Consider the following 12047-nt stretch of genomic DNA (forward strand, 5'->3'; position numbering starts at 1 on the left):
TATTACATCCATGTTTTTTCTGTAGCATTCTGTAAACTACACTTCGCACTTTTTTCCCTTGAAGCCTGCTTTCCCCTCCCCTTCCTTCTCCTATTTCCTCTGTTTGCTCCATTTCCAGCTCCCTCATCTCTTCTGTAACTGAATTGTGTGCCATGTTTTCTTTCTTTTTAGAAAGATAACTATTAAAACAGAGAAAACAGGAATTACAAATCAGACAATCTTAGTTCTTATATCTAGCGCTAATAAAGAACTGTTAAGGGAAGATATTGAAACCAATAGCTAAAGTTTTAAATTATCTGTGAATTTTGCTTATTTGTGCAATATCATGGATAAATTGAGCATCTGCTATAGTTCCAATATTAGCATTCCAATTTTTTCAAAATGTATGTATTTCACTATTCAATATTATCAAATCTAAGCTTTTAACTATATTGAGCTATGTGCTCAGGGAGGTGCAGTTTCTGATATCTCTGGATGTAATTTGAATGCTGATGATTACTTAAAAACCTTAGGTGGATCAACTCTCCTTTGGTAATGTGGGTTGATCTGAATTTAACATTTTCTACTTCTGAGCACCAAAAATACACAGCTTCATATGAAATACAAGACAGAAATAGCCATGAAATACTAGTTCCTCGGACTGTATGAGTTAGCAAGAAGAATCCCAAGGGTGAGATTTGAATCAATGTAGCATAAACTGTCCAAAATGACAGGCAGTAGAGATGAAAGGGATAGGTATGGTGCTTCAAAGAAAAATGGTCATATGTCACATTATTCTATATAAATATGAAGCCTATTCACAAAGGGCTTTGGAAATTTCTGATCTCTCCTTAGCCCAGAGCAATGCAATTAATGAAATGTATTTTGGTTTTTCATTAGTTAGAGTTAGCCCTCAGGGTATCACCCAGACATACCTATAAGCCCTAGAGTCATTTGCGGGGAGGTATCAGAGAAGAGCTTAGCATGCTGTTGGTTCATGTTTTTATGTGTTTATTTCACATTGACTTTTGCCGTGAGCTTTGAGGGAGACAACACCATCACATATGTGTAAATTGTAAAAGAATTGGGAGAGAATAGCTTTGGGAGATCATTTTCTTACTGGCCATGATGAAGAAAGCTGTATCGTAGGAAAATTACTAGGTAATTTTACTCACTTGATAAAGTTAATTTGCAAGGTATCATTCGATTGGTAGAGTTACCAAAATGAGAGTTAAAGAAACAGAAATATGGTTTCAGTTTATGGTGCATTCTTATCTTTTTCACTGAGTCTATTTCTGTCTGGTTGCTTCACTTAGTACTCCAACCAGACAAGAGAAGACAACTATGCTAGTGTTTTAGAAATGGACAGAATGGGTGATTTAAGTAGAGCCTGGTTGGATAATAAAATGTTGATCAAAATGACCTCAGAAGCTGCTGTTCCCAATCTATATCCTAACCCCATCTATGTTAAAGACTTTTATTGTCTAAGAATTTCCCATGACAATCTGATATTCATTGTCAAATTTCAAACTAGAATATATTTTTCAACTTTTCATGAAGGAAAATGTCAAACTTATAGAGACACTAGTGGTGTAATGAGCCTCTGTATAACCATCACTTAGCTTGAATAATTATTAATTCATGACCAGTATGGTTTCATCTATACCCCTACACACTTTCTCTCTCACCAAAGACTATGTTGAAACAAATCTCAGATATCATATAATTTTATTTATAAATATTTTGGTGTATACCTCTAAAAGATAAAAAGTCTTAAAATCAATACAATACCATTGCCCTACATAAAAATCAACAATTCTGCCTTAATATCATTATATATTTAGTTTGCAAATTTCCCAATTGTCTCATTGATATATTTTTCATAGTTTGTTTTAATTAGGATTAGCATAAGGTTTATACATAGCAATTGATTGATATGTGTCTTATATTTCTCCTAACCTATATAGAAACTTCCCTGTCTCTCCTTCTCTCTTCTATCTCCCTCCCTGCCTGTTGTTGAAAAAACCTAGGCATTAGTCGTACAGAGTTTTCCACAATCTAGATTTGTTAATCACATTCCCATGATCTTTCTTTTTCTGCTACACTGGTATTTATGTATTGAGGCTTGGTTGGATTCATGTCTTTTTTTTTTTTTTTTTTTTTTGCCAAAACCATTAGGTGGTTCTTCTCTCAGAAGAAATACTCTCTAGTTTTCTCTTTTTTTAATGTTAGATGCCATTAATGATTATTTGCTAGATTATATAATGTATTAGGATTGCACAATGGTGCTATTTCATCTTATCCTTTTTATTTATTAGCTGATATATTTTATTAAGAGTAATTTACCCTCTTATTCATTTGGTTACCATGAGATAGAAACCAATCCTGTTCTCCTCTTTATTTACCAGTTTTAATGTATTAGTTTCCTTGCATTCTCTATAGGCGTCCACTATTATTAATATTTACATATTGACTTACAGACTTAAACATACTTGAAGTATTTTAATTTATTAAAATTATATCCTTATGCTCAGATTGCCCTATTTTGGCCTATGGGAACCTCTTCAAATTGGCTTTGAGTCCTTTTGACATGCCCTTAGTAGTCTTTGATAGCTTCTTTGTTTCCTGGTATTATGGAATGTTTCAGGCTTTTTTTGTACATATTCCGAGGCAGACCTGGATTCAGACATTTCTGCAAAGAACGTCAGTTTCTTTTAGTAGTTAAGAGAGCATAATATTAGCACCATTGCTGCTCATTGCTACTGGATTGGTCTTTGTTTCTTGGGCTTTACAGAGGACAGAGGTAGTATGTAAACAATATATACTGTGTATATTGTTTAAAGATAAAATCGTTATGAGTTCAAACCGAAACTTTCAATTCAAATCCAGGGCTATCAGGTTTTAAGTTTACATCCTCTATCTTATATCTGTTCCTTCTTTTTACCATGCTGACAATCACAGGTCTCAGAGATTTCAATGTAATTATTCATCTGCTTTATTCCACAACACACACACACACACACACACACACACACACACACACACATAATCTTAGAATAAGAATAACAGCACAACAAGCAATATAATTATGGTAAACACTTTAAGGATATTTTGCATCAAAGAAAACATTTGAATGGCAAACATTTATGTGGATCTGTGCTCACAAAGTATATGTTGGTAATAGTCTCCAAAAAAGAACATTTTTCTCCTAAGTAAATAGGAGTGAATTAAGTGGTATACATCACTGAAGTCATGAGGAAATAGAGAATAAGGGGTGTCCATTTAATTTTGCTTTAACTGTAAAGCTATTTTGTTTGATTTGCCTGTAGTTATTAGAACTTTTTAGCAAGTAGTTATTTTCATCATCAAGTTTTTAACAGAGAGACAATGTCATCATTATTATGTATAATTTATAGAATTAAAAATATGTCACTAGTAGTTAAAGTGATTCATGATAGGAAAATGATTACATGGAGTTCCTCAAAGAAAACTTTGCTTCTCAGCTTGCTTCTTAAAATTGTAAAAATACTTAAAAAAAAATATAGCCCTTCCGTTTAAGGTAGGCATCTTTTCACTTTTCCAAGTATTGTGGGTTTTGTTTTTTTTTTTTTTTTTTGAGACAGAGTCTCACTCTGTCACCCAGGCTGGAGTGCAGTGGCATGATCTCTGTTCACTACAACCTCCGCCTCCCAGGTTCAAGTGATTCCTCTGCCTCAGCCTCCTGAGTAGCTGGGACTACAGGCACGCACCACCATGCCTGGCTAATTTTTGTATTTTTAGTAGAGATGGGGTTTCACCATATTGACCAGGCTAGTCTCGAACTCCTGACCCCGTGAGCCATCTTCCTTAGGCTCCCAAAGTGCTGGGATTACAGGCGTGAGCCACCACGCCCGGCCAGCATTGTGTTTTTTTTCTTAAGGAATTCCTCACTGAGGAAACATGAAGCAGTAGAAGAAATATGTATATCATTTAAATGTCTTAGAATAAGTTTAGGCCAACTCACAAACATATTGGAATACCTTTTTGAAGCAAATGGAATTTAATTTGCTTTCTTTTTAGTTACTGTCTAAAATTATTTGGCTTGTCAATTAGACAGGGTGACCTTGTGGGAAAGGCTAAGAGAGCAGATAGAGTAGGTTGCTTTCCCTTTCTGTCTTTATCTTCTGGGGCCCAGTTGTTTTTTTTTTCTTTCTTTCTTTTTTTTTTTTTAATTCTAGGTTCATTGGTTAGTGGTCACTTTTAGATTGTCACCTACCAATATACTTCTGGAAAACAAGTATTGTGAATTCTACAGAACTTTCATTTCTTCCAGAAATCTTTGAAATTAAAGGTTTTATATTCAAAACAACCTGGACCAAAATACCTTTTCCCCTTTGAATGATTGGTATGCATAAATAATACTAGCCTGCTGACATTTACACATTTGCATTAATACATCTTAAGACTGAAATATGATGGAAATGCTGTAGGGCTGATAGTGGCACATTGTGCCACACTTAACAATGAAGAATGTGATCATGTTCCTGGCACACACATATGCAAAAGGAATGTTAACTTTTCTAGAGAAGCAGTTGAGAGCCAATGTGAGATATTCTGCTTTCCTATGGGTAGGTGGGCAATTGCAGCTTGGATTTCACTTTAGAAATATGCTTGCAAATATAGGCACATTATTTAATTAAGTAATAATTGAGAAAGCGATAGTCCCCATTAAAAGAGCAAAGCTAATTCTGGGCTGTTAAAGGACTCTGAGCTGCCCTAAATAGGTCTTAATTAGCTGGTGCCAATGTGGCTCCACCTTCAGGGATGGATGAAATTAATGAAAGCTAGCAGCAAATAGAATCAATATTTCAAGATGTTCCTGCCTCAGGTGAAGAGGATGAAAAGAAAGGGAGTCATTTTCAAAGACTGTTTAGGAAACAATGCACATAAATCAATTTCTAAAAACATAAAATGGGACACTGATTTGTGAATACAGTATCAAGATCTCTACCTGGCTCATCTTTGCCAGCCTGTTCCATCCATTCCCACTCAATCTTAAGGAGAGAAAAAGAAATCAGCGATGTGTCATTCCTCACTATCTTTGGGGGTGACAGTTTTATAAGCTAGCAAGGGTTTTAAGGGCAGCCCAGGTTTTGCTATTTCAGCTTGGCCATTTTGAAAGTTTCTTGTGTCATTGCGTGGTCAAGTGTAGAGATGAAATTGGCTCTCATCCCTCAGGTTTGCAAACCTTTAGTAATATCTAGAGTGGAAAGGGGTTTCAAGTCTTCTTCCTTGAAAATTTGGGAATCCTCTTGTAGGTCCCTCTGTCAACACACAAGGAAGCCGCCTTAACACACACAGTGTAGCTTGAAGGTGGAGGGCAAAAACCAAAACCAAAATAAAACAACTATGCTAGCCATATCTTAGAGTCGCCATGGGGTACAGAAATGTGCATAGTTTGCCCGAAGAAATGCCATACCTAGATTCCACAAACAAAGATGTCAGGTTATTCCTAACTCAGAATAAATACCTGCTAACCCCAGGAAAACTTCGACCAAGAGATAATAGGCAAAAGACAGTATTAAAAACAGTATTTTCCATTTTTTTTTCATTTTGAAGATGGTCTTTGCAAATATAAGTATCTCAGCACTTTTTCAGGAGCAATGCTGACAAACCTCTGTTAGAATGAATTAATATCCCCATCCCAGCTGGTGTATTTGGCAGGAACAAAAAGTTCATGCAGCAGTCATGGGCAGATCCATAGGACTCCTTAGTCAAAAAGCATAATACTGCATTCAGGGTTGTGTTTTCACGCTAACAAGCATTATGAAACAGGGGAACTTCCTTTTTACCATTATTTATGATGGCATTCAGTGACCTACATTAGGCCTCCTCTGTAATACAAATGCGCTGGAAATTAAAAATTCAAAAAAAAAAAGGAACGATCTATTTTAATAATGGGAGGTAGGGAAGGGCATTTGTAATTTATAAAGATATCAGTACAAACCTTTCATGTGTTTAAAAACACCCTCATGTGCACACACACACACACACACACACATATACAAATGCACTGGGTGAAACTCTGATGTATTTGACAAGACAATTTAGGATTAAAACAAGAGCAACATCTCAAGTTCAGTGATCATATTTTAAAGCAAAAAGCTGTGCAGGACATCAGTGGTTGTGGAAATCAAGACTTCCAAGCAGTCTACTGAGTGAAATAAAGTTCTCTGGGCCAGAGGATGACTTGACAGAAGGCCAGATTCTCAGAAAAAATTATACTGTATAGAAAAAAAATCCCAGTAGACATGTATGCTCAACAGTTCTCTAGATGTAGTGGCTTTTAAACCCCCAAAGGGTGTGAAACTCAAAGGCAAAAGTAGGCCTTAAATGGGAAGCTTCATTAAAATGTATACAGACTTTTAAATTTTATACAGGCTTTAAAGGGTTTATTTATTTATGCATCATGGGATCTATCTCTGTAGTTGACTTACTTCTCTCTTACAATTATTTCTCCTCTCCTTAGATTTTTTTTTGACCTATGCCTCCTTCTTCAAGTTTAGTTCAAAATTAAGACAAGTAAGGATAGTTACATTCTTGTCTTTAAAACATATGAGCCAGCAGCAATCTCTGTTTTTTCTCTATTCTTGGATGCTTGACTCTTTTTAAGACAGAGTTGGTTGTTTTGAAAATTTTCATCCTATACTACGCCCATCTGTACTACTAGATGTTTAATTGCTTGGGCAAATATTTCAAAATACCTTTCACTGTGTCTGGGATGTTATAAGAGCTCTACAGATGTTTGCCGAATTGAATTTTTGCTTCTCTGTAAACAGACTTCTTATTAGATATGGTATTACTGACCTACATGGACTCCTCTAGTTAGCTCTTTTTCTTTCTTTCTTTTGTTCTTGTTTGTTCTTTCTTTCTTTCTTTTTTTTTTTTTTGTTTGTTTGTTTCAAGGAGTGGAAAGTTTAATAGGCAAGAAAGAAGGAAAAAGCTCCCCGTGCAGAGACAGAGGGAGGGGTGCTCCGAGCGGAGAGAGAAAAACCCCATAGCTCCTTTTCTTAGTGAAGAGTAGGTCCTCTAGATCAGTACAGTGCTTTTCAAACTTTAATGTACATCAAGCCACCTGCTGACCCAAATGATTTGAGGCAGGGCCTGAGAATTTTCATTTTTAACAAGTTTCCAGGCCCGGCCATCCTGTTCATCTGCAGATGGCACTTTGAATTATGCTATTAACAAAGTAAAAGACATTCATTTTTTCTTGAACCAAATAAATACACAAGTCAAGAATATCTGTTTCCCAAATAGCTTTGTAATCTGCTTGTAGTTGGATCCTAACTTTGTGATCCTGCCCTATTCCTTAGCAAATTAATAATGGGGCTCAGAGAAGTCCTTAAGAATTCAACTGGAGACTTGTGTATCTGAATTGTGTTTATGTGTTCATTTCTTTCATTGAACAACAACACATGTCCTAAGGACAGGGACTACACCCATCTCCATTTTATTCTCAGATCTAGCATAGCGGTGGTTAGCCATAAAATACAGTACCAAAAGAATGTATTATTTTCACTCTCTGTCTTTCAGTTAAAGGGGCCATGGATGTTTCAAGTGTCCTTAAATTGACCTCAGCAGTAACTCCTTTTCTTTGTTCTATTATTATCACTACCACTGCTCTAGTTTAGGCCTTCTTTACCTCACACATACGTGACTGCTTATCTAGTCCTACCTCTATGTTTTGGCAGAGATAGTTCCCTCTGCCTAAATTGCACTTCCCCCTGTCACCATGCACACACATGCAGGCCATACTTTATGAACAAGTCAAATGTTACCTTTTCATGAAGCCTCTTGTAATATCCCTACAGAATTCCTACTTCCCCTGAAAATCGTAGGGTTATGGACTTCCTTGTTATAGAAATAATAACTTTCTACCATGCGTTATTGTTATTTATGTTTAATCTCTTCAAGTGGTCCATAAACTATTTGAGGGAATACCAGCCTTGTTTCTCCAAGCACCTTGACATAATGCTTGACTTTAATAGGTATTCAGTAAAGATTTAATGGGTGAATGAATAAATAAATGGACGAGTAAAAGAAGAAATAACACTTAATATCTTTTTTAAGCTTAAAAGTCCCTTTGCCATTGTTGAAATACCAGTGAATTTCAAAATACTTTTTTTCAACAAGAAGGGTCACAGCAATGCCAAAGAGGCAAGTTCTAGGATTGGATTTTGATAGAAAAGTTTCCACAGTTCTATTTAGAGAGACCACGTCTTACTTTACTTTACCCAAAGGCTGGCAAATCTATTACCTTCTCTAGGGATTTTGTGATTGGGCACTGGGTTTTTAATAAGTAACTGGCAGAGCCATTCCTCAAATACAGGTTTCCATTTTAGTTTCACTTCAGTTGTGAAGCAAATTCCAAGGCTTCACTCACAATTCTGTTAGCTGTCAGTTGCCTGGTGAGAAAGCAAATCCTAGTACCCAAAGTCAAAGTTATACTCTTGGGCTTCAGGAGGCAAATATAAGCACCACCACAGAAGTCAGAAAACAAAATACCCAAGTAAAGGAGAACTGAAAACTCTCATAAAACAACCTGAGCTTCTCTACCAAACTTTAAATTGCCCTCCAGAAAATATTTTCTTCTTTGGTAACAAAGAAAATAAATTGCCTTACTTTTTAAATGCCTTCATGATGAACATAAAGAAAAGAAAAAATTGGTAGTTGTGTCTTTCAACCAACTGCATAAATGAAGAATAAATTTGTATATAGACTAAGAGGAAAATTAATGAAAGCATTTCTGGCATATTCAGATCATGTCACTCTCCTGCTCAAAATCCTGCAATAGTCCTCCATTTTCCTTAGAATAAAAACACGTGTTTACAGTGACTTCCAATCACTTCTGATGAGTCTACCATGATAGCATTTAAAATTGAAATCCTTACCTCACATACCCAGCATTCCCAATTTTCCTTACCTTGTTCTATTTTATTTTTTTCTCTTATAGCATTACCTTCTAACATTCTATATAATATACTTATTTATTTTAATTTTTAGTGTTTTCTATGTATTTCTCCTACTGGGATATGAGTTCTCTAAGGCCAAGGATCATTGTTTTGTTCACTAATATATCTCAAGCACCTAGAAGAATATATGTTGTGTAGTAGACACTCAATATTTGCTAAATAAATGACCTAGAGGTGGAAAAACAATTGAATAAAGGATTCAGGCAAACTTGCAAAAAGTTATCATGGGGGTCTTTAATCGCTTAAAGAAAAAAATGCATCCACTCAGAAACAGTGCAATTAAGTTACAAGTTTAAGGCTGTTTTTTCTGCTGTTGTTTTACAAAAAGGTGCTAGTATTGAAGCTGTCTTATCCAAGAGATCATCATTGCACTCAAGGAACTGGTCTGACTGATTTTTATTCTTCAACACATGGACCAGTTGTTTAAACAGAATTGATTTCTGATTTCTTTGGTATCCAGGGGAAACAGCAAAAATGTCTCATTCTTATTTGGATTAGTAGAACAGCGGTTCTCAAACGTGAGCTTGCATCAGAATTACAAGGGGTGCTGATTAAAACACAGATTGCTGGGCTCATTCCTGGACTTTCTGGGTTGGTATGCTTGGATTGAGGCCCAAGAGTTTGCATTTCTAACAGAATTCCAGGCAATGTTGCTGCTGGTCCTGGGATCACACTTCAAGAACTACCGTGATAAAGAATTCTAAGATATCAAGTCACATTCAATTATTTTGAACATTTGGTCCTATAATCTTTATTCTATTGGCATATTGTTGCACGAACATCTAGCACTATTTTTGTTATGATATTTTTCACGGCGAGGAGTTTTTTAACCTCCTGTGAAAGTCCTACTGCAACTCTGTCATTTTATTCTTCACTTTCTTAAGATCTTGCTCCTCTGTAATTATACCAGATGGTGCTGCTCAGTAGCTTATAAGGGAGTGATGCTTCATCATTCTAGACAGAGAGACAAATCACTCTGTTCTCTGACTTTTGAATCAAGAATCAACATTTGTGTGTATGTTCAACCTGCTATTTGCTTTGCAATTTTGCTCATTAGGTATTTATTACCCTGACAGTGTATGAGTTAGTCATTTTCCTTCTGCCGTGTAGTTCAGATTAGCACTGTTTGACAACTGCCATCATCACAGCATTACCTCCAATAATATGTAATTTCTTTTTTGCCTATGTTATCTGGGTGAGGTAGTTATCTAGGAAGTATATCTACAAACGGAAGATCACAAACAGCATTCAGTTCTCTGACTTATCATGTTAGAAATGGATAACTAGGGCCATTTCCTTGGAGTTTCTAGCCCTGCGATTGGCATTGCTGAAAAGAAAGGAATATTATGACCAAAGCCAAGCGTTCTTTTTCATTTATTGTATGCTTTTTTTATGAAGAAGGTGGTATGAGGGAAGCATACAATTTAATGAGAAGCATTGAAAAAGAACAGAAACATTTATTAAGCTCTACTGGCAAAATGGATAGGCAACCCTTTACAGAAACATGGAAACCATGCAGAGCAGAGAACTGGTTAAAATTTAGAATGTGGAAAACAGTCTTATCTGAGATATTCAACAATTGGAGCAAAAACATATTTTCTTTTTCTTTATAATCTTCACTAAAAGGAGAACTAAAGTTATTACTAGATAACTCATGCAAAGGCACTATTACAGGCATGTAATAACATTCTTCTGACGTGAATAGGTTGTTTATTCTCTCCTAAAATACTTCTCTACACAGTTTTAATATTAAACTTATGAAATTTTCTTGAACTTTTGTTGATTGGAGGGTAGTAGAGAGAGAAGGGGATATAGTTGGGAGCTTTTGGGAAGGATTGTCAATCTATCTTAATTCTTCTAGTTGATAGTAGATTTTTGACCATTAAATCTTTACTAACAAAGGTGTTAATATCCTCGTAATGAAATGAGTGTCCTACACTACATCAGCTGTATCATTGTGGAGGTACAAAAGCTCCGAAGGTAAATGCAAAACAAAGAATGGTTGCTATTCCAAGGTGACTTTTTCATGACATGTTCTATATTTCTGATATGTCTTCTAGTCTTAACCTGTGAGTTCATAGCAAACACAGTTGGTTTTATTTAGGAGTGCATTAAATTTTATTCCATTGAGCAAATTTCACTTTTGCTTCATAGTGATTGTAATTAATTTGCTCTTTATCTTCTCTTTATCTTTACTTCACTCATTACTCATCTGACAGCTCGCCATCCCATCTTAATTGGGAGAGAAGACCCTTCCAAAAGTGAACCATTGGCAGTTCTGTCATCTGGAAAGAGATACATAAAATGTGTTAAGAAACAGAAATGACTATATAACTGGTTCATCATATTTCCTTAGCAGGTGGATTCTTGGTGGGCAAAGATCATGTTCCTGGTGCTTTTGCTGCCAAGCACATTGTGGGTGTTCAATAAATATTAAATAATAAGAAGAGTTTCCTAATTAAGATGAACATTTTTCTCTATTAAGCAGATGGTGCTCAATAGGAGTAACCCATTATTTATAAGTATGACACAAGGTGCTGGCAATTGTTGAGGAAATGTGGCTCTCACTTCAGATGCTGATTATATGTTAAAGCAAACTTTTGTGACAAACAGCTTGGTCGATATTAGTTAATGTTTGTGATTAAAACTGTTACTAAAGATGGACTTGTGTATGTAGGTCTGTAATTCTGCTGTTTTGATTCTTAATATTGGCTTCACCTATTCAAGTATTTCTGGCTATTTGATGCAAGGCAAGTTTGGGCAAATCAGTGTATACCTGATTTTACCCCATAGGTTCACCATTTGATTTGAATTCTCATCCTTGTCTGATTTCTAAAGAGATTTTTGTTTTGAGTCCTTTGAGTCTCTTTGTGGTTGCTAAAGCTAGATGTGAACACCTCCGTGATATTTGCAATGCTTATATTCGTAGCTGAAATCTCAGTGGAACTAAGGAGAGTTAATTAGGCATTCCCAAAAATACACATCGTTTTATGATTTTGCAGATCACCCCGATGAAAATAACAGTTTAATTTTGTCAAGTCATGTAAATTATAGTGA

The 12047-nt window shown here is 35.6% G+C and overlaps 1 protein-coding gene across 15 annotated transcripts in view; it reads left to right on the plus strand.

Moving 5' to 3' along the window:
• ST6GALNAC3 (ST6 N-acetylgalactosaminide alpha-2,6-sialyltransferase 3) overlaps positions 1–12047 on the plus strand; it is a 562594-nt gene that overhangs the window by 338305 nt on the left and 212242 nt on the right. The gene's annotated exons all lie outside the window — the stretch shown is intronic.

This window comes from Homo sapiens, chromosome 1 (genome assembly GCF_000001405.40).
Source record: "Homo sapiens chromosome 1, GRCh38.p14 Primary Assembly".
Classification (NCBI taxonomy): Eukaryota; Metazoa; Chordata; class Mammalia; order Primates; family Hominidae; genus Homo; species Homo sapiens.